This window comes from Homo sapiens, chromosome 2, assembly GCF_000001405.40.
Source record: "Homo sapiens chromosome 2, GRCh38.p14 Primary Assembly".
NCBI lineage: Eukaryota > Metazoa > Chordata > Mammalia > Primates > Hominidae > Homo > Homo sapiens.
Window position 1 is genome coordinate 101321318 of NC_000002.12, and position 22751 is coordinate 101344068.

Genomic DNA, 22751 nt, shown 5'->3' on the forward strand with positions numbered 1-22751 from the left:
CGTCACACACTGGGGCCTGTCGTGGGGTGGGGGGACGGGGGAGGGATAGCATTAGGAGATATACCTAATGTACATGACGAGTTAATGAGTGCAGCACACCAACATGGCACATGTACCCTAGAACTTAAAGTATTAAAAAATGAATAAAAGTAGTAACTACTTCATAAAAAAAAGAACAGAGGAAATTAATGTTAATAATGTATTTTATTCATCCAGATTTATGCAAAAACAGTTCAACATGTAAGGAATATAAAAAATTTGAGATCACTTACAAGGTTTTTTTTTCTTTTTCTTTTTTTGAGACAGAGTCTCCCTCTGTTGTCCAGGCTGGAGTACAATGGTGCCATCTCGGCTCACTGCAACCCTCACCTCTGGGTTCAAGCTATTCTTGTGCCTTAGCATCCTGAATTGCTGGGACTACAGGTACGCACCACCATACCCCACTAATTTGTGTATTTTTAGTAGAGACAGGGTTTCACCATGTTGCCCAGGCTGGTCTTGAACTCCTGGTCTCAAGTGATCCACCTGCCTCGGCCTCCCAAAGTGGTGGGATTATAGGCGTGAGCCACCATGCCCAGCCCTACAAGTTTTTTGTACTAAGTCTTTGGGATTCCGTGTGTGTCACACTTACAGCACATCTCCATTTGGACTAGCAACATTGCAGGTGCTTAACAGCCACATGTGGCTTATTGAACAATGCAGGGCCAGGTAAATGCAAGCAGATTTCCTAAGACATTGCTTTTGTGTTTAGCAAGAACATATTATTTGTTAATGAACCCAAAATACGACTGTGCCTTCACGTTACACTCAAAGTCTTCAAAGATCTTTCCTGACATTTGGTGAATAATCAATCTTCTTTTTCAAATACCAAAGATCTTAATTCCCAGGAATTTTATGTACCTCATATTTTCTGTGTTTAAAATGTGACTCTCACAAATATTGCAGAATGGATCAAAGAAAAATTTGCCTTACTACCATTTGAAAATTTAGCTCTAGTATATGAAAAAAAATTTACCAGATGATGAAAAATTATGGGGTTATATATTTACCAAAACATTTGTATTAACCCTTTCTTATCCTTATGGAAAAAGCAGGCTATGACGTCCTACAAATCCTATAAATACACAGATTTGTAAATGGTTTTGGAAAGCCCATAAACAGGGGCTATGGTATTACCCGCAGGTACAGGCTGCAATTTATAAGTACATTAGTACACTCCTAGCACCAGGTCGTGCAGTGAATATAGCTTGTCTTGGCAGAGCCTGTTACATAATGATAGCCCACCACAGTGAGAAATTCTTCCATTTCCTCAAGTTTGTGGATTGCACTGCTCTCCTGGAAAGACGTAGCATATTCTTTTATACTCATACAATGAGCCACTCTCCTGAGGTTATTTCAAAGAAAAGCCAATATTACTCAACTGTACTTCATTCATCTTATATAATCAGTTGTAGCTGTAGAGCTCTACAAACAAAATAAAAAAATTAAAGAAGACATGTGACAGACTCATCTGCCAATATTCAAAATGCAGCTATCTCCTTCCATAGTTTTCAGCTAATCCTTGGAAATATCTATTTATTAACAGGTAAATAAATGTAGCTCCCTTGTGTAGACAACTGTGTTATATTTGTCTTTCTAAGAATTTGTTTCATCTAAGTTATCTCATTTGTTGGCATATAATTACTCATAATATTGACTTATAATCCTTTTTATTTCTGTAAGGTTAGTAGTGATGTCCACCCCCCACCCCCCCACTTTTTTTTTTTTTTTTTTTTTGAGACAGAGTTTCACTCTTGTTGCCCAGGCTGGAGCGCAATGGCATGATGTTGGCTCACTGCAACCTCTGCCTCCCGGGTTCAAGCGATTTTCCTGCCTCAGCCTCCCAAGTAGCTGGGATTACCGGCATGCGCCACCACGCCCAGTTAATTTTGTATTTTAGTAGAGATGGGGTTTCACCATGTTGATCAGGCTGGTCTTGAACTCCTGACCTCAGGTAATCCACCCACCTCGCCCTCCCAAAGTGCTGAGATTACAGGCGTGAGCCACCGTGCCTGGCTGATGTCCTTTCTTTCATTCCTGATTTAATAAAGTGAGTTACCTCTCTTTCTTCTTGGACAGTCTACTACAGTCTTGGACAGTCTACTGAAGGTCTGTCAATTTTGTTCATCTTTTCAAAGAGCCAACTTTTGTTTTAATTGATTTCCTCTATTTTTTTTTTTCTATTCTCTAGTTTATTTCTGCTCTAGGTTTTGTTGTGGTCTTCTGCTTGCTCTGGGTTTGGTTTGCTTTTCTTTTTCTAGTTTTTTAAGGTGAAAGATTAAGGTATTGATTTGAGATATTCTTTTTAATAAAGGTGTTTGCTGCTATAAATTTCTCTTTAAGTAGTGCTTTAGCAGTATCCCAGAAGTTTTGGCATTTTTTTCATTTTAATTCATCTCAAAGTATTGTCTAATTTTCCTTGTTTTTTATTCTTTGATGCATTGGTTATTTAGGAATGAGTTTTTAAAATTTTCACATATTTGCGACTTTCCCAAACTACTTTTTGTTGTAGATTTCTAATTTTTTTGTTTTGTTTTGTTTTGTTTTTTGAGATGGAGTCTCACTCTGTCGCCCAGGCTGGAGTGCAGTGGCATGATTTCAGCTCACTGCAATCTGTGCCTCCAGGTTCAAGTAATTCTTGTGCCTCAGCCTCCTGCGTAGCTGGGATTACAGGCGCACGCCACCACACCCAGCTAGTTTGTGTGTGTGTGTGTGTGTGTTTTAATAGAGATGAGATTTCACCTTTGGCCAGGCTGGTCTCAAAATCCTGACCTCAAGTGATCCACCCACCTTGGCCTCCCAAAGTGCTGGGATTTCAGACGTGAGCCACTGCTTCTGGCCCTAATTTGATTTCATTGTGGTTGGAGAACATACTTTATATAATTTTAATACTTTTAAATCTATTCGAATTTAAAATTCAATTGTTTTGTGAGCTAACATACAATCTATTCTGGGGAACATTACATGTGCACTTGAGAAGAATGTGTACTCTGCTGTTGCTGGGTGGAGTCTTCTATAGATACCTGTTAGATCTAGTTGGTTTACAGTGTTATTCCAGTCTTCTGTTTCCTTGTTGATCTTCTGTTGTTTTTCTCATTATTTAAAGTGGGGTATTGAAGTCTTCAATTATTATTATTATTTTTTTCGAGACAGAGTCTCGCTCTGTTGCCCAGGCTGGAGTGCAGTGGCACTATCTTGGCTCACCACAACCTCCACTTCCCAGTTTCAAGCGATTCTCCTGCCTCAGCCTCCCAAGTAGCTGGGATTACAGGCACGTGCCACTGTGCCCAGCTAATTTTTTTAGTAGACATGGGGTTTCACCAAGTTGGCCAGGCTGGTCTTGAACTCCTGACCTCAAGTGATCCACCCACCTCAGCCTCCTAAAGTGCTGGGATTACAGGTGAGAGCCACCATACCCGGTAAAGTCTTCAATTATTATTGTTGACTAATTAGCAACAACAGAGTCCCAACATACATGGAGCAAAATCCAACAGAACTGAAGGAAGAAATATCGACCTTTTAAATTTACATTTAATGTAATTACTGATAAAGTAGGATTCACATCTGCCAATTTGCTGTTTATTTTCTATATGTCTTGTTTTTCTTGTTTCTTCTGGTTCTGCTTTCTTTTGTGTTAGGTAGATATTTCTAGTTTATAACATTAATTCACTTGTCATTTTTCTTGTTATCTATATATATGAGTTATATTCTTTCTGATTGCCCTAAGGATTGCAAGTAACAACTTATATCCATCTAGTTCTCAATAATTCCAACTAAATTTCAAAAGAATACAAACTTTGCTTTTATATAGTTTTGTTTCCTTCACCCTCCTTTTTTCCTATTATTGTCATACAAGTTATATCTTTATACATTATAAGCCCATCAACATAATTTTATATATACTGGTTTATGTGGTTGTTTAAAAATCTATCAGGAGAATAAAAGAGTTACAAACAAAAAAATACAGTTAAACTGTCTTTTATATACACCTCTGTAGTTAACTTAATCAGTGTTCTTTATTTTTTTGTATGGATTAGAGTTACTGTCTGATGTTTTTTCATTTCAATCTGAAGCATCTTTTTTAGTATTTGTAAATACAAGGGCAGATTTGCTAGCAACAAATTCTCCTATTTTTTTTTTGTTCATCTGAGAGTGTCTTAATTTCTCCTACATTTTTGAAGTATAGTTTTGCTGGCATAGAATTCTTGGTTATCAGTCTTTTTCTTTTCCCAGCATTTTGAACATGTCATTCCCACTGCCTTTTGGCCTCCATGGTTTTTGATGAGAAATTAGCAGTTAATCTTATTGAGGATCACTCGTATGTGGTAAGTCACTTCTCTTTACTGCTTTCAAGATTCAGTTGCTGTTTTCAAGATCCTCTCTTTGTTTTCCAACAGTTTGATTATAATATGTCTAGATGTAAATCTCTAAGAGTTTATCCTACTTGGAATTTTGTTTAGCTCCTTGGAATTGTAGAATAATGTTTTTCATCCAATTGGGAAGTTTTTGGCCATTATTTCTGTAAGTACTTTTTCTTTCCCTTTCTCGTCTCAACATACTCCTACCGTATGATCCGGCAATTGTGTTCTTTGGTATTTATCCAAAGATGTTGAAAACTTATGTCCACACAAAAACCTGCATATGGATGTTTATAGCAAACAGCTTTATTAATAATTGTCAAACCTTGGAAGCAACCAAAATGTCCTTCAGCAGGTGTATGGATGAGTAAACTGTGATATATCCAGAAAATGGAATATTATGAGACTGAGCTCTTCAGTCATGAAGGGACATAGAGGCTATGTAAGTGCATGTTGCTAAATAAAAGAAACCAATCTGAAAAGACTACTGTATTATTCCAACTATATGACATTCTTGAAAAGGCAAAATCACGGAGACAATAAAAAGGCCAGTGGTTGCCAGGGGTTAGGGAGAAGGAAGAGTAGGTGGAACACAGAGGACTTTCAGGACAGTGAAAATATTCTGTATGATACTATAGTGGTAGATACATGTCATTATACACTTGTTCAAACCCTTAGAATATATAACACCAAGAGTGAATCCTAATGTAAACTATGGACTTTGGGTGATAATGATGTGTCAATGTGGGCTCATCAGTTGTAACAAATGTTCCACTCTGGTGGGGGATGTTTAGTTGGGGAGGCCTGTGTCAGGGCAGAGGGGATATGGGAACTCTCTGTACCTTTTGCTCAATTTTGTTGTGAACCTAAAATAAGTCTTTAAAAAAATCTATTGAAAGGTACTGTTCCTAAGGCAATACGACTTAACATGTGAGCTGTGGTCTGGTGCCAGTCAATGAACCGTTTGGTACTAATCTGCCATGAGATAAGGAGCTTGTTCCAGAATGTACATCAATCTACTGTTGACTTTATCTAAACAGCCTTGCTATAGAATTAAAAAAAAAACTTCAGCTGAATTGAACACTGTGCTTAATGATGTAGACCATACTTTGAGTATGAGGAGATGCATACCATACTGTATGAGGAGATGCAAAGAGAAATCTGACATAAGCTCATTTACAAATGAGTAGCAGAGATAAGACCTTCACTTCAGTGTGTCTTGTTATTAGGTAAATTGTAGTAAGTACCATAAGATGCTCCAAACAATAAGAGAGCTTCCAAATGGAAAAATTGGGCACTGTTTCATGGAAGTAGTGAATTTGAAGTCAACTTTGAATGATAGTTAAGATTTCAATGGGGTAGGCAGGGTGAAAAGGAAAGGCATTTGAGATAGGACACAAAATAAGGCAAGGTTTGGAAGTGGGAAAATGGGGGTTGTGTTTGAGACTAGTTAAATTTTGAATGAAAAATAGGGTATACAGGTTAAATCAAGTAAGGCAAGGTCAGAAAGCATTTGAAGCCATACTACAAAGGACTAGGATTCTACACCATGGAGTTTTTCTTCCATTTGGTAGATAATAGGGACAGGAAATGACATGGTTCTACTGTGATGTAAAAGATGTACCTCGGCCAGGCGCAGTGGCTCAGGCCTGTAATCCCAGCACTTTGGGAGGCCAAGGTGGGTGGATCACCTGAGGTCAAGAGTTCGAGACCAGCCTGGCCAACATAATGAAACCCCATCTCTACTAAAAATATAAAAATTAGCCAGGCATGGTGGCGGGCACCTGTAATCCCAGCTACTTGGGAGGCTAAGGCAGGAGAATCATTTGAACCCGGGAGGCGGAGGTTGCAGTGAGCCGAGATTGTGCCACTGCACTCTAGCCTGGCCAACAGAGCGAAACTCTGTCTCAGGAATAAATAAATAAATAAAATAAAAATAAAAGATATACCTCATATCATTGAGAAGAAGGCACCTAAAGAGGAAAAGACTAGTGGAAGGAGACTAACTAGGATGCTATTTAAATAATAAAAACCCAATAATGAGGCTCTGAATCAGAGTGGTGGCCTGAAAGGGATCTGAAAGGAATGACAGCATGTAAGGAGAGATGATGGAGGCAACACTTACAGGTCCTGAAAACTGCTCAAATAGGCACAAAGGAAACGAAGGATGCCTGAAAATAATGATGATGCAAAAACTAAGCTAGGTAGGGCAGCAGGAAGAACCGGTTTGGTGGGAAGATGATGAATTTGGCTTGAGGTGCTTGGCAAGACATGCAAGTCTGCTGCACAGGCAATGCAGGTCAGCAATTTGAGAGAAAGGTAAACTTTCACAATCCTAATTTGAGAAGCAACAGCACGGAGATGATTATGGAGCCATGAGGGCTGAGACACTCAGCGGGGGAGACAAAAGACTAAAGAGACTCTTAGCCAGGAGAGAACTGTGGTGGTGGGAGGGGAGAGAAGGAGTGGGGGTTGGGAAGGGCAAGGAAGTGAGGAGGAGCCACTGACAATGGCAGATAAATGTTCAGAGAAGAAGACCCTAAAGACTACAGCTTTATGGCACCCAGGGCTGGACAGGCTCAGAAGACAATGGGAATAATGTCGTGTGCTGCAGAGTCTTGGTATTGGCCTAAGTGTTGGGGGCCATAAGAATAGACCACTTTAAGTTGTTTGAGAAGAAGCAAGATCAGTAATTCCAAGAAGTAGAAGGGTTGAGGGAAGTGTTTTCTTTCTTGGGGAGTGGCAGACAGTAATGTTTGTCAGCTGAAGAGAAGGAACCAGGGGTAAGGGAAGATTGAGGCTGCAGAGTAGAGGAAGTGGTTGTGGGAACAAGTTTGCAAAATGAGCTAAAAGGGTGGGGTTGATGTACAGAGGTAACGCTGGGAGGAAGGAAGTGTATTTCCTTTTTTGACACAGGGAGAAGGATGAGAAGGTCAGTGTGGACACAGACATTTTTGACGTGCAGAGGCAGGAAGCTGAAATCGTTCTGGGCAAATGACTCTTCTCTTCTCAAAAGAATAGGAAGTGAGGTCACCAGAAACTAAGATGGGGCAAGTGTTGGGATTACAGAATAAGGGAAGGAGCAAAACAGCTGCTAGGAATGAGACAAGGAGTCCACCAGAAATGGGTAAACAGATTTCTGAAGACCTCTGAGAACTCCACTGAGTCTAAATTCCAGAATGTGCAGTAAAAACCACTGGTGCCATTACCCCCATGAATCAGAGGAAGCAGATGGTGGGGTCTCCCTGAGATACAATCTAGTCAGCCATCTGGATATTTCACATTATTGCTGCAAATAAAAAGGAGGCTCATACCTTATTCATCACTGTGTTCCCAATACCCAAGACAATTAACCACACTCATACTTAACACATATTTATTGAATAAATAAATGAATTGTGCAGCAAGATCAAAGTTCTCGTTAACTGCAGAAGGAGATATTAGAAGGAGAGAGGCAGTGTTATTACTAAGGCTGAGTCAGTACCCTGTGAGCACCTGCCAGACAGAAGGCCCCAGAACCTTGCATCCCTCTCCTTTTGCCTGCAGAAGCTCACCCTGCCTGGCCTAGGCCACAGAGGAGATGCATAAAAGCCCTCCACCCTCTTTCGTATGTCGCCATGCTTATCTTGCAATCTTGAGCTATAATCTGGCTGCCTGAAAATCTAACAGGTGTAACATTAAGGCCACAATCGTGGTGTGCTACAAAGATTTTATCTGCTTTTAACATTAATAAATTGTGATGATGGTGTATAAACCAGTCGTGTGAACTCAGTTCATGGGAGGCATAGTAACTCATGGGCGAGTTAATAAAACAAGTTCTAAAGCTGCATAGCTGGGCATCAGCATCAGGATCAGAGGCAATTTTCTGTAATTATACTTCTTCCAGAAACTACCTTTCTACATTGCTGAGGCTGAAGTCAAGAAATATAGAACCTAGAGCTCCTATTCATAAATATCTTGTATTTTAGCAAAAGATAGGTGCTTCTCTCAAAACAAAAACAAACAAAAAACAAAAAACAGCAGAGACCCCATAAGGAAGGCATAAAATGAAATCAATTATCATTTATATGTTGTATGAATATTTGTAGTCTGCAGACCTAAATTCTCAGAATTTCATATTTCTGGGCAGAATACACCCTTAAGGTTAAGTGACTTTGAACTTGCTGTGCTCATAGAATGCATCTTATAGACCTCAAACTACAGGGGCATAAATGACCAGGGCTGCTGGCTGCTCTAAGTCAAAGACTGGGCACTTTAACCAGGCATTTTAAGGCAGTTCTTGGAAGATGGGGACTTCTTCTGATGGCCAACTTTGTCTTGAGGGCTTTCCTTTGGTCTTGTGGAAACTTCTTTAGTTCACATAAGGGTCTAGGACACCTCCAGCTAGTCTTTCTTCCCTTTCTCCTTCACTCAAGTCAGACTTGCATGGGGTCTAATGTTTCTCTCAACCTTTCCCAGCTTCCTCTCTGTTATCTCTCACAGGCATAATAAAATCCTTGCCCTATTCATTCCATCTTGGAGTCTGCTTCTTGGAGGACTTGGACGGACGTAGAACCTTTGCATCAGAGCCCAGAGGCCGAGAGAGGCTGATGGCAGGTGAGAGTTTCCGTAGCATTGCTGTAGCCACTGTATAGGCTTATGCATTTGGAAATCAGCAAAACATCATTAGCAAACAAGCAAATACGTCTGCACACCCAATTTCCCTTCCCTCTGACTGAGAAATAGATATTCCTAGAGTAGTTGGCCTGGAAGCAGAGACTGACCAAGCTGAGGAGGGCTGGGCTGCCCCACCAGCCTTGGAGCCCTGCTCTCTGAACCTGCTCTGAGATCAGTGGGAGAATGCAGCCTTTGTTCAGCCCATTTGCAAGTCTCCCCACCCCCGCCGGCAGGACCAGGCGGGTGAGCTCAGCGTGCTGGGTGTCTGCTAGGCGTTCCTGGCCAGGCCTATTTCCTTTTCTTCTGGTACGAGCATGACTATTTTGCTTTGTGGAAATAGTCTTCCACACAGGACTAGTTTTGATGGATAGCACTCAAGTGCTTCCTTTTCTTTTGGTCAAAGTTTGGGTAAGTAACTCAGTGTAGTGCAAAGCAGGGCCCTCTCTCAGAACCTGAACTAGAGCAGCACAAAACTGGAAATTGTTGAAGAATCATGCAGGGGCCAGAACCCTGAAGCGCCACTCCCTGTGCTCCTGTGTAAAGCTAGTTGCTCTGCTTCTGCCCTTCAGAAGCCAGGAATTTCAGCTCGCAAGATCGTCCTCCTTCTCCTCCCCAGGGGTAAATAAAGCTTGCCCAGAATTACATAGGTAGGGAGTGTCGGGTTAGCACATATAGTCAATCTGCCAGACTCAGCAGTGCCATGCTAGGATCTCCCAAACCACTCCTCAGAAAGCTTACCCTGGCCTTAGATGATCTGCATCCCACCATTTATACTCTGTGGTACCTGGGCTTCCTTGTCCATGTCTCTAGCATGAAGATGTTGGCTTCCCTGCCTCCTAATAGCTACTCATTCCCTCCTCAAATTTTCTCTTTCTGTGAGAAATTGTGGATAGAAAATAGAATGTAAGACAAACTCACATTTCCTCTGTGCTTAAGATGTGGCAGGCCCTATTCTAAGCACTTTATATGCATGAACTCATTTAATCCTCATAACAACCTGAGGCACCATGTTGACCCATTTTACGGGTGAGAAAACTGAGGCACAGAAAGTCCTGAGTAACCACATGGCTAGTGAGTGGCAGGTCTGCTAAATGCAGCACATTCTGCTGCAACAGAGGCTCCTTGAGGGCATGGGATTCGTTTGGCTCACAACTGCATCTACTGTGCATTTGGCATAAAGTAGATGCTTGATAAATGTCAGAACACATGAATAAACATGTTTAAAAAATAAGATAAAAAAAGAAGCAATGAATGAATGGATAGGGATGGGAAAGAAGGTCTAATTTTCTCCAAGTCTAATTCGGTGGTGTTTTGGTTTTCTTGATGCTTATTTGTTTTTATTTATTTTTCTTTTTTTTTAATCCTGCTCCTTCTGTAGATGCTCATTTGGGTTCTCATTACTTCTCAGGTAGGCTCTGGGTGTTTTAAGGAAATTCCTGAATTAGTCCCCCTTTTCCCAGCTGATGTAAAGGTATGATTTCTGAACCTGCTTCATTACAGTAACTATGTAAGAGCCCAATGGTGCAAGCACTTAGATGAAAAATAGATGTCGTTTATTTCACCAGGATTTAGATCAGGAAGCCTCTAAGGGTTGTGAGATGATGTGTTAGGGCCCACATAACCTAGTTCTCATGGGGAGTTTTCCATTCTTATGGGGAGTTTTCTATGATCAGTTCATTGAGGAAAAACCCAAACAAAACTTGGGCTTAGTTTACAAAATGGGCACAGCTGCAGAACATCCCTGAAAGCCAACAAGCAAATTTTTTTTTTTTTTTGAGACGGAGTCTCGCTCTGTCGCCCAGGCTGGAGTGCAGTGGCGCGATCTCGGCTCACTGCAAGCTTCGCCTCTCGGGTTCACGCCATTCTCCTGCCTCAGCCTCCCGAGTAGCTGGGACTACAGGTGCCCGCCACCGTGCCTGGCTAATTTTTTTTGTATTCTTAGTAGAGACGGGGTTTCACTGTGTTAGCCAGGATGGTTTCAATCTCCTGACCTCGTGATCTGCCGGCCTCGGCCTCCCAAAATGCTGGGATTACAGGTGTGAGCCACGGCGCCCGGCCTACAAGGAAATCTTAGACCCAGCTTCCTGGATGGAGAAGTGGCCAAAGAGATGGTCTCCCCTGATACCAGTGTGGGTGGTGGCTAACTTTACAATTTGGTCTTCAGTTTACAGAATACCGAGGCAGGAACTAATATTACCTAGAGTAGGATACAGTGGCTGATGGGACGTCTGGTTTCCCCTTTTCAGGGGGAAAGTGAGAGTATCTTTATTTCTGCAAAGTATAACTGCATCTTGTAAGGCAGAGCGTTTGGCTTGTTAGGTCTTTTAGCTGTCTGTACCTTGAAGGGTGCAGGTGCTGAGTAGTCAAAGCAGTGGGCTGTGCCCGTTATTGGCCAATTGTCTCCTACAGCCACAGTGGATCTTTTCTACTTGGCTCTGCGGTGTTAAGGCTGGGAGTTTGCAAATTCTCTTGGGTGTGGGATCTGGGTGTCCCAGGCTCTCTTGCCAGCAGACTTACTGTTAGATTCTACCAATAGGAGGTACTAGTGGGAGCTCCAAAGGTAGGAAGGGAGAAATTGCACTTTTTAAATAGGTGAAATCTAATAAGTGTTTAAGAATGTTTATCTTCAAATGAACCATTTAACTGGCTTTTTTTTTGAAACAGAGTTTTGTTTTTTTTCACCCAAGCTGGAGTGCAATGATGCAATCTTGGCTCACTGCAACCTCTGCCTTGCAGGTTCAAGCAATTCTCCTGCCTCAGCCTCCCAAGTAGATGGGATTACAGGCACCTGCCACCACACCTGGCTAATTTTTGCATTTTTAGTAGAGATGGGGTTTTACTACGTTGTCCAGGCTAGTCTCAAACTCCTGACCTCAGGTGATCCTCCCACCTCGGCCCCCCAAAGTGTTGGGATTACAGGCACATGCCATCGGGCCCAGCCAGCTTTTCCAGCTATTTGAGTCTAATATTTGAAGCTGCTAATTAACCAAGGAACTATAGAAGACTAAGCTACCCAGTACTAAAAAATACAAATGCCAGCATGTAATCATTACTGCTAAAGTCACTTAAAACCTATCAAATTTACTCTGGAAATTCTGAGTGTTCTCTCTCAGAAAGCCTGTGTAACATTACCCACCCTGTAGGTCATTGAACTTTCCTGACTTTTTCAAATGTGTAAAGAGAGCATCAGTTTTTTCTCAGCAGCAACGTTAACCGCACCTTTGATTTCTGTTGACTTTTTCTACTGAAAAGAGTTGAAAGTCTTTGTCAGCATCAGAAAAGACAAAGAATTGTCACTGTAAGATAGCTGTTTGATATTTGGCCTCTTGTAGCTGAAACAATTGAAGTCTTTATAGCAATCATGTACTAATATTTGGTGGATAACTCTGTGCTTAATGGTCTGTGAAAATAAAGGTGTTTTAAAAAGACCATTTTTGGCTGCACAATATTGTGAAAGTACCAAATGCTACTGAATTGTACACTTCAAAATGGGTAATTTTCTTTCATGTGAATTTTACTTGAGTAAAAATTATTTAAGTGTCTTTTTCACATTGAAAAACTTATTTAGCTGTAATTTCACCAGATTGAAGAATGCTTAAAAGATTTCTTACTGCCTGCGTCAGCTTATCTTTATACCCAGAACCATTTGATAGCTTTTAGATCATGGCAGTTTTTATTTTCAGTAAAGTTTATGATTTTTAATCACATAATAGATGAAACGAGATGTGAAGGACGCACTTGCACTGGTTACTTTTTTTTTTTTTTTTTTCCTGAAACAGAGTCTTGCTCTGTTGCCCAAACTGGAGTGCAGTGGTATGATCTCGGCCTGCAACCTCTGCCTCCCAGGTTCAAGCAATTCTCATGCCTCAGCCTCCCGAGTAGCTGGGACTACAGGTGCGTGCTGCGCCTAATTTTTTGTATTTGTAGTAGAGATGGAGTTTCACCATGTTGGCCAGGCTGGTCTTGAACTCCCAACCTCAGGTGATCCGCCCTCCTCAGCCTCCCAAAGTGCTGGGATTACAAATGTGTGCTGGTTACTTACTGCACTGGTTACTTAACCTAACTACTTCAAAAGGATCAACTATGAAAAATGCACAAAAGTCTCAGGACACTTTTTTATGAGCACTCAGAAAAGTTGCCTATTTTAAACTTGCATGAAATCATTATAAAGGGACTTTGGAAAAGAACTAAACTCTGCAAAGATTTCTTAAAATAGTTACAATGGGCCGGGTTTGGTGGCTCATACCTGTAATCCTAGCACTTTGGGAGGCTGAGGCAGGTGGATCACCTGAGGTTAGGAGTTCAAGACCAGCCTGGGCAACATGGTAAAACCCCAACACTACTGAAAATACAGAAATTAGCCAGGCGTGTTGGTGCACACCTGTAATCCCAGCTACTCCGGAGGCCGAGGCACAAGAATCGCTTGATCCCGGGAGGCAGAAGTTGTGGTGAACCGAGATCATGCCCTTGCACTCTAGCCTGGGCGACAGAGCGAGACTCTGTCTCAAAAAAAAAAAAAAAAAAAAAGTTACAATGAAATAATAAATTATATTTTTATTTTTCACAATTCTCGCCTTTATATATAGCTGATTGTTCTTTTTACAAAATAAAGCTATTTAGAAGAAAACAAATGTCTACCAGAATTAGCATTGCTCTTCCTCATATGTTGTTAATGATTTCCTAATGTCAAATTATGAGAACCATCATTATAAGTTTGTTTGGAAATTTAAATTCTCATGTATTGGAAGAATATATCCTTTTTACTTTGTATTTTATCTTTAATCTAGGTTGTGAATTTCAAAACAGATAGTCCTGTTTTGTTTTATCAAAAAAATCACATTTTTATAGTAGTGATGCCAATTTATAGCAAGAAGAGCTCTTTTTATTGTATGTGGGGATCCTGGCTACATCAGACTTTCTCTCATTTCTCCCCATTTTTACTATTTAGGCCTCTGGCATAAAGAATAAAAGTCAGCTTGTAATCCTAGCAGTTTGGGAGGTCAAAGTAGACAGACTGCTTGAGTCCAGGAATTTGAGACCAGCCTGGGCAACATGGTGAAAACCTATCTCGGCTGGGCACGGGGGCTCATGCCTGTAATCCCTGCACTTTGGGAGGCCGAGGCAGGCGGATCACGAGGTCAATAGATCGAGACCATCCTGGCCAACATGGTGAAACCTCGTCTCTGTTAAAACCACAAAAATTAGCTGGGCGTGGTGGCACGCGCCTGTAGTCCTAGCTACTTGGGAGGCTGGGGCAGGAGAATAGCTTGAACCTGGGAGACAGAGGTTGCAGTGAGCCGAGACTGCACCACTGCACTCCAGCCTGGCAACAGCAGGAGACTCTGTCCCAAAAAACAAACAAACAAACAAACAAACAAACAAACAAAAACTATTTCTATTAAAAAAGTGCAGAAATTAGCTGAGTGTGGCGGCACACACCTGTACTCCCAGCTACTGGGGACGCTGAGGTGGGAGGATCACTTAAGCTAGGGGAAGTCAAGGCTGCAGTGAGGTGTGATTAGGCTGCTGCACTCCAGCCTGGGTGACAAAGTGAGACCCTGTCTCCGAAGAAAAAAATAATAATAATAAAAGTCAATTAGCATTATTATTTAAAAAAAAAATCTTACAGGGCATCTTATTCAATTGAATTGAGCAAGGTCTAATTTATTCATGTGAACTGAGTTTTGTTGTTAACTGGATCCTATCCTCCAGCTTTTATTCATTTTTCATGAGAACGAATTTGTCATCAATATCTACTGCACTTGGCTGGGCATGGTGGCTTATGCCTGTAATCCCAGCACTTTGGGAGGTCAAGGCAGGTGGATCATCTTAGGTCAGGAGTTTGAGACCAGCCTGACCAACATGGCAAAACCTTGTCTCTACTAAGAATACAAAAATTAGCCGGGCATGGTGGCACACGCCTGTAATTCCAGCTACTCGGGAGGCTGAGGTGGGAGGATCTCTTGAACCTGGGAGACAGAGGTTGCAGTGAGCCGAGATCGTGCCACTGCCCTCCAGCCTGGGCTACAGGGCGAGACTCCGTCTAAAAAAAAAAAAAGTACTGCACTCATTTCCTACTGCTTCTGTAACAAATGACCACAAAATCAATGGCTAAAAATGACACAGATTTATTGTCCTACAGTTTTGGAGGTCAGAATTCTGAAACTGTTCTCAATGAGCTAAAGCTGAGGTCTCTCAGCACAGCCTCCCAAGTAGCTGGGACCACAGGCACACGCCACCATGCCTGGCTAACTTTTTAATTTTTTTGTAGAGATGAGGTCTCACTATGTTGCCCAGGTTGGTCTTGAACCTCTGGGCTCAAGTGATCTTCCTGCCTTAGCCTCCCAAAGTTCTGGGATTACAGGCATGAGCCACCACACCTGGCCCCCTTGTACATTTTAAAATTCACTTGCTCCCCTGTTTTCTTGCTTAATTTTTACTATCTGGTTTATTTTTTAAAATCAGTATCTTTTTTTTCCTTTTTTTTTTTTTTGAGATGGAGTCTTGCTCTGTTGCCCAGGCTGGAGTGCAGTGGTGCAATCTCGGCTCACTGCAACCTCCGCCTCCTGGGTTCAAGCGATTCTTTTGCCTCAGCCTCCCCAGTAGCTGGGATTACAGGCATGCACCACTATGCCCAGCTAATTTTTTGTAATTTTAGTAGAGATGGGTTTCACCATGCTGGCCAGGCTGGTCTCGAACTCCTGACCTGAAGTGATCCGCTCACCTTGGCCTCCCAAAGTGCTGGGATTACAGGCATGAGCCACCACGCCTGGACTCAATGAGCTAATTCTATTTTCCTCACTCTCACTCCTTTCTCCCATATGTTACTTGTCTTATTTCAACTTTGTCATAACATATAACATTTGTACATTAGTCTTCCACATTTGTCTCATTTTTGTTTTAATCTTAGATGTATACTTCTATGTTCTTAAATGCTCACCATCAGTCTGATTGCTAAAGTTTTCCCAGTCATCATTTGGTTAGATAACAGTGATTCTTGGCCAGGTGCGATGGCTCATGCCTGTAATCCGAGCACTTTGGGAGGCCGAGGCAGGTGGATCACCTGAGGTCAGGAGTTCGAGACCAGCCTGGCCAACATGGTGAAACTCTGTCTCTACTAAAAATACAAAAAATCAGCTGGTCATGGTAGCGCACGCCTGTAATCCCAGCTTGTCAGGAGGCTGAGGCAGGAGAATCGCTTGAACCCCAGGAGGTGGAGGTTGCAGTGAGCTGAGATTGTGCCATTGTACTCCAGCCTGGGTGACAAGAGCGAGACTCTGTCTCAAAACAGAAAACAACAAACAAACAAGCGAAAAACAGTGATTCTCTAGTAGATTCTTCAAGAAAGGTAGATAGGTACAGATTTCTCTCAGTTATTATCTAGTGAAAACTATGCTTCTTTAGCCTTGATATTTAAAGGACAGTTTGGGTATAAAATCCTTGGATCATACTTTCTTTCATTTTTTTTTTTAAATAATGCCCATTGTTGCTTTGTTTGTATTTTGGCTTTGAAATGTTTGATTCCAGACTAATTCTCTTGCTTTTCTAAGTTATCTAATATTTTTGCCTGGGGGGCTTTGGGATTTAATCTCTGTCTTTGAAATCTAATCATTTTCTTGGGCTATATCTCAGAGTCGATATTTCTGGTTTAGTTTTCCCCTTCCCCTGGCAAGCCCGTTCACTAGGCATTTTTTTCATTTCTTCCTGCCATTCCTGTGAGTCATAAAATTAGTACTCAGATCCTGTAACTACCCAGATAGTTAGCTTTTGGAATCAGAAAAGAGCAATTCTTTGAACTAAGATATCAATGTGCATGCTAAACACTAGATTATATTAGTTCCAACTAGCAACCTAAATACTGTATAGAGAAGCTGACTATAATAAATGTTATGAAAATAAGAGCCTGGAGTGGTGGTGCACACCTGTAATCCCAGCTATGTGGGAGGCTGAGGCAGGAAGATTGCTTGAGCCCAGGAGTTTGAGACCAGCCTGGGCAAAATAACAAGACCCCTGATATGGTTTGGCTGTGTGTCCCCACCCAAATCTCATGTTGAATTCTGATCTTTAGTGCTGGAGGAGGGGCCTAGCGGGAGGTGATCGGATCATGGAAGTGGATATCCCCCTTGCGATAAGGCAGGGGGTCCGTTGAGCTGATGAACACACAAGCCATCTGCAGACGGCAAATCTAAAAGAGCTTGGTAACACACGCCCACTTGGGCGTTAGGAGTTGAAGACACCCATCCTTAGATGCTGCTGTGGGGCCAGAGCCCAAAAGGGCTTGGGTGGGCCTCTGCACCTGCCTATCTGCATGCTGCCTTTAGGGTTTTGAGCTGCAGGGCAACCAAGCAGGCGACACCCCTGTCACATGTCCTATGAGGGGAATCAGGGAATTCTCCTGTTTCATTGGAGCCTAACATAAATCCTATTTGTATTACTAACCTGAGGAATGTGAATATGCTGTTACACTAAAACACACAACAACAAAATCTTCCACAAGTTTGCATTCATATGAACTTACTGAAGTAGATAATATCTTCATTAAATAAGGAATAGTATTGTTATACCCAAGCAAGTTAGAGAAAACGCCACACTTTGAGATGAATTAAGAGTCCTTTATTTAAGCCGGTGGCCAAAGAGACGGCTAACACTCAAAATTCCCTCAGCCCTGAGGAAGGGGCTTGATTAACTTTTATACCTTGGTTTAGGTAGGGGAGGGGAGCTCAAATGCAATAATTCTACAGAAGTAAAAACATGCAAGAATCAAAAAACAAATGGTTACAGAGAGATAAACAATTTAAAAGACAAATGGTTACAAAAAAAGCAACGGAACAGTTGCGGGGCTCTAAATCCTTTATTAGAGTTAGATATGGATGCTATGCCGGACACAGACTCAAGGCTTTATGTTGTTATCTTTTGAGCAAAATCCTGGGAACTTCATACATGTTGTTCGTTCCAGTACCTTATCAGTTAATTGGGCTCCTTTGAAATGCTGAGGATCTGCTTACACAGGTTAACTCCTTGAGGAAGGGGGTTGGGTAAGTAGCCCTTAATGTCTTGTAAATCAAGGGGCCAAATGTAGTTTGTCCGGCTTTCCCAGCTAAGGGAGAGTCTTACTCATATGAGAAACAAGGCTAGGTAATTAAGGAGACAAAAAGGGAAATTTGAAAATAGGGTTCGTAAAAAAACAAGGTTAGGCATTACAGTATCATATTTATTTTTACCTGGATTTGAACTCCCTAGAAATTCTAGCAATGTGCATAATATGCATTGCTGGCCTTAGAAACTATATGATGTAATACATGTTTGTTGTTTTAAGCTGTTACATTTTTGGGGGTAATTTGTTACACAGCAATAGATAATGAAAACAGTTAGATATAATCTAGATTACTTAAGCAGAGTATTTGGAAATTGTTGGTTGCCATGGCAGGACATCCCGGGACTTAATGAGTAGTTATAATTAAATCAATATATAATACATTGTTGGAGATAGAGTATCTTATGGCTTATAGTACAATGTCTTGAAATACAGCTTCATCAGTGATATTAAGCATTTCCCCATCCCTGTCTCCTAGCAGGAGAGAGGCACTACGTCTGGATTATGAGAGCAACTTGTCTGCATTGTCTGTTGGAAAATAAAGATGAACTTACTTGCCTGTTTCTGAATTTAGGTGAATAGTACCTTCTGTTTGCATGCTCATCGAACAACTCTGAATAATCACTTGGCTTTCCTGGTGGCTAGGAAGGTGTGTGGGGTGCCCTGGTTATGAAGTGCGAGCATTTAGGTCTGTGGATGCTGTCCTAGCCAAAGGCCATCAGGACAGATCTGATGGACAGGACAGAAGTCCAATGAAATCAGGCTTATTGGCTCTTGGAAATGAGGGAGACTGCATGTCAGTGGAACTACTGGGCATTTCACCAAAGAAAGAAGAGACAAGGTTCTTTGATTTGGGGGAAGGGAGGCCCTTAGGTAAAATTTAAATGAAGCAATGTTTTGATGGAGTCCAGGCAAACAGGCTGTGGGTTAGGGTTCAGCATTGGGCCTAAACTGCAAAGTTCTCTGTTTCTTGGAAATTAGGAAGTTAAGATAGCTTTGCTGTGTTGTGTTTAGAAGCCCTTGTCTGCAGCCTGCATCTGAGTGGGAGATTGAGGCTGCTTCTCTATGTTGAAAGACTTGGATCCTCCAGGCAAAAGTGGATCATTTCATTTTTACTGATTTGATTTTAAGCAGCTAAGTTTCTGAGTGCGTAAGACTTCAGAACAAGGTTTCTCACTGAGGCAGAAAGCAGAAATCACTCAAAACTGGGTTGGTGACATTTTACAGATGTAGCATGACCCTGGGACAAACATTGTTTCCAGTTAACTTTGCAGCAGCCTTTGTCTGTGTTAGGCTAGCCTGATTCATAGCAGGGAAGATTTTTCCTTTCTCAATCTGACTTGATTTTTACTTTCTCAATAAAATGTCTGGAAGGAGAATTGCTTGGGTCTTTATAAAAATATCACCAGCTGCTTTTGCAGAATATAGTACACCACTGATGAATACAATAAAAAAATTTTCTGTTAAAAACCAAACAAAAAACCCAAAACATTCATACTTTTTTTTTTTTTTGTACCCAAACACTTTTAGGTCAACTACATGATTCTTTCAAAAATATCTTGGCCAGCTGCGGTGGCTCACGCCTGTAATCCCAGCCCGAGGCTGACGGATCACTGGAGGTCAGGAGCTTCAGACCAGCCTGGCCAACATAGCGAAACCCCGTCTCTACTAAAAATACAAAAATTAGCCGGGCGTGGTGGTGGGTGCCTGTAATCCCAGCTACTCCAGAGGCTGAGGCACGAGAATCGCTTGAACCTGGGAGGCGGAAGTTGCAGTGAGCCGAGATCGCACCACTGCACTACAGCCTGGGCGACAGAGCCAGATTTTGTCTCAAAAAAAAAAAAAAAAAAAAAAAAAAAAAAAAAAAAAAAAGGATCTATTAAAAATGGCTCTCATACTAAGACAGATCCAGAGCCTGGTTTCAGAAGTAATTAAAATATAATAAGATGACACAGGAAATGTGAAATGTGGTTATGATAGAACAAATGCCTTCATTCCATGAGAAACTAAGAGATCAGTGCCCTGAAAATGTCTGTTAGGAGGCATGTCAGTCAGCGTCCAATCAGGAAACCAAACACACTATTTCAAACAGAGAGAGATTTAATCCAGGGGATTCGCTATAGAGAGGTTGGTAGGGACGACAAAGCAAAAGACCCAAGAAAGGAAGGGGCGGAGCCGGGGCGGGGCCAAAGCTCCCCAGCCTGGCTAGAGGCCATCATGAGTCCCACTGAAGTTATGGTTCTTGTAGGTATCATTGAATTAAAATCAAAATTTCAATCACAATAGAATACCAAAATATACATAAATACGCCAGGGTAAGACTATTGGGTGGTAGTTGAGAGCATGAACCTGGGCTCACAATGGACCAGTTATTACCTGTGTGATTCTGGGCAGCTTCTGAGTTGGCAATTAGCGAGAATAGGAGGACTTGCCTCACAGGGTCGCCGTGAGGACCAGGGAAGACACGGCTTGTGAAGGATGCAGATGGAGCCTGGTCTCGGTCCGCTGGAGCTGCTCCTCCCTGAGCCTGGGGCCATTGCCAGGGACAGCCACTGTCGAGAGCAGGGAGAGGGTGGGGTGCTGAGAACGGAAGGAAGAGAGGGAAAACTCAAGGAGGGGAAAATAGGTCTGACTGCGTTCTGGAAACCCCCAAAGCATTGAGAGGAGAGAAAGGAGGTTGGAGTCAGTCATGGGTTTAATACCTGCTCAGCCTCCTCCCTGGCCCTGGAAGCCCAGGAGCGCAGGTCTGTGAGTTTGCTGAACCTCAGGTTTAGCATGTGAAAAACTGAAGCATTTCTTTCTTGCAGGGTGGATGTGAACACCAGATGAGGTTAATGTCTGCACCTAGCTCCTGGCAGGATGCTGGGCTCTGGGAAAGGCGAGGTTTCTAAGATGGAGCCACCAGGGGGCGCAGTGGTTCTTTTCCTTGGCTGCAGTGAAAAATTGCCAGGCTTGCAAACCCGGGAGCTGATCAGAAACTCCGGGAGGCTCAGGGGCTAATCTGGAAGTGGTTAGAAGGGTGGGAGACCTCAGTGAGGCGGGGTAAGAAGGCGAGGGAGGGAGTCGCGGGGGAGCAGGAAAAAATGAAGCGTGTCCGTAAGGCTACCCACTGAGACCTGGGCAGGGGCTCCGGCCCAAAGCCCTCAGAAAACGAACTCATCCGTTCTTTCTAGTCATTTGCTGAGCACCTACCAGGAGCCATAAATGGCCGTGTGCAAAATCAGCCCCTCTACTGGCTCCCAGTCTTGCTAAGGCGACTGACACGTGGACAAATGTCATCTATACGATATGCAAATGAGAAGTCCTATAATGCCACCATATCCTATAATGCCGTAACCTTTACGGCATGCCAGGCATTGCATAATAATTATCCCATTTTACACGGGACGAAACTGAGATTCGAAGGATTCACTCAGTCCCGAAATTCACAAAGCTAAGAAACAGTGGATTCAAGCTACGTTAGTCTATTATAAAGCTATGTTCATGCTTTGCAGATCATTCCTCCTCCGGTAAAGCAACACGAAACACGAAACAACCCTGCTCCTTGAAAGTTCACATCAGTAGCCCTCAGCAGTAGCCGACAAGCAGGATGGCGGCACCCTCCCCTACCCGCATGGCTCCCAGTCAGCCTCTTCCCTCCTCTCTGCTCGTCTCGCCCCTCCTGCTCACCTTCACTGTGACTGCGGCATCTGGCTCACCCCAGCCACCATGTTCCCGGTCACCTCCACCGTCCATTGCCACAGCTTCAGCCTGGCCTTGTCATCGCTGTCATCTCTCTGGAACTGGGCGTTCACATGTCTCACTGTGGACAATGGTGGGCCTTCCAGATCGTGGTCTCAGGTCCCCCACTGCGGCTGTCACAGCCGCCTGCTGCCTGCACTACCTTCCTTCCCACCCTATCCGCTCTTAGAAAACACCCTAAACGGCTGGGCGCAGTGGCTCACGCCTGTAACCCCCGCACTTTGGGAGGCCGAGGCGGGTGTATCACCTGAGGTCAGGAGTTCGAGATCAGCCTGGCCAACATGGTGAAACCCCGTCTCTACTAAAAATATAAAATTAGCCAGGTGTGGTTGTGCGCAACTGTTATCCCAGCTACTCGGAGGCTAAGGCAGAATTTCTTAGGCTAAGGCAGAGGTTGCAGTGAGCCGAGATCACGCCATTGCACTCCAGCCTGGGTGACAGAGCAAGACTCTTGTCTCAAAAGGCCGGGCGCGGTGGCTCACGCCTGTAATCCCAGCACTTTGGGAGGCCGAGGCGGGTGGATCACGAGGTCAGGAGATTGAGACCATCATGGCTAACACGGTGAAACCCTGTCTCTACTAAAAATACAAAAAATTAGCCGAGCGTGGCGGCGGGCGCCTGTAGTCCCAGCTACTCGGGAGGCTGAGGCAGGAGAATGGCGTGAACCCGGGAGGCGGAGCTTGCAGTGAGCTGAGATCGCGCCCCTACTCCAGCCTGGGCGACAGAGCGAGACTCCGTCTCAAAAAAAAAAAAAAAAAGGAAAAGAAAACACCTTAAATGCCCCCTTGCTTCCCCTTCTTCCATCACACCTGTCTCTACCTGGGATGAGTCTGGACCCCGGCTCCTGCCCACATCCAGGCCGG

At 42.9% G+C, this 22751-nt stretch overlaps 5 annotated features.

Moving 5' to 3' along the window:
• Nucleotides 8551–9327: an enhancer, noted in NCBI's record as "NANOG-H3K27ac-H3K4me1 hESC enhancer chr2:101946330-101947106 (GRCh37/hg19 assembly coordinates)". NCBI's record gives its function as "activates a minimal SCP1, AML or CMV promoter by ChIP-STARR-seq in naive H9 embryonic stem cells {active_cell/tissue: H9 hESC(naive)}" and the evidence as "EXISTENCE:reporter gene assay evidence [ECO:0000049][PMID:30033119]".
• Nucleotides 8551–10104: a biological region, named in NCBI's record as "NANOG-H3K27ac-H3K4me1 hESC enhancers GRCh37_chr2:101946330-101947106 and GRCh37_chr2:101947107-101947883".
• Nucleotides 9170–9464: an enhancer, noted in NCBI's record as "tiled region #6404; HepG2 Activating DNase unmatched - State 1:Tss". NCBI's record gives its function as "activates a minimal TATA promoter and a strong SV40 promoter by Sharpr-MPRA in HepG2 cells {active_cell/tissue: HepG2}" and the evidence as "EXISTENCE:reporter gene assay evidence [ECO:0000049][PMID:27701403]".
• Nucleotides 9328–10104: an enhancer, noted in NCBI's record as "NANOG-H3K27ac-H3K4me1 hESC enhancer chr2:101947107-101947883 (GRCh37/hg19 assembly coordinates)". NCBI's record gives its function as "activates a minimal SCP1, AML or CMV promoter by ChIP-STARR-seq in naive H9 embryonic stem cells {active_cell/tissue: H9 hESC(naive)}" and the evidence as "EXISTENCE:reporter gene assay evidence [ECO:0000049][PMID:30033119]".
• Nucleotides 17582–18366: an enhancer, noted in NCBI's record as "OCT4-NANOG-H3K4me1 hESC enhancer chr2:101955361-101956145 (GRCh37/hg19 assembly coordinates)". NCBI's record gives its function as "activates a minimal SCP1, AML or CMV promoter by ChIP-STARR-seq in primed H9 embryonic stem cells {active_cell/tissue: H9 hESC(primed)}" and the evidence as "EXISTENCE:reporter gene assay evidence [ECO:0000049][PMID:30033119]".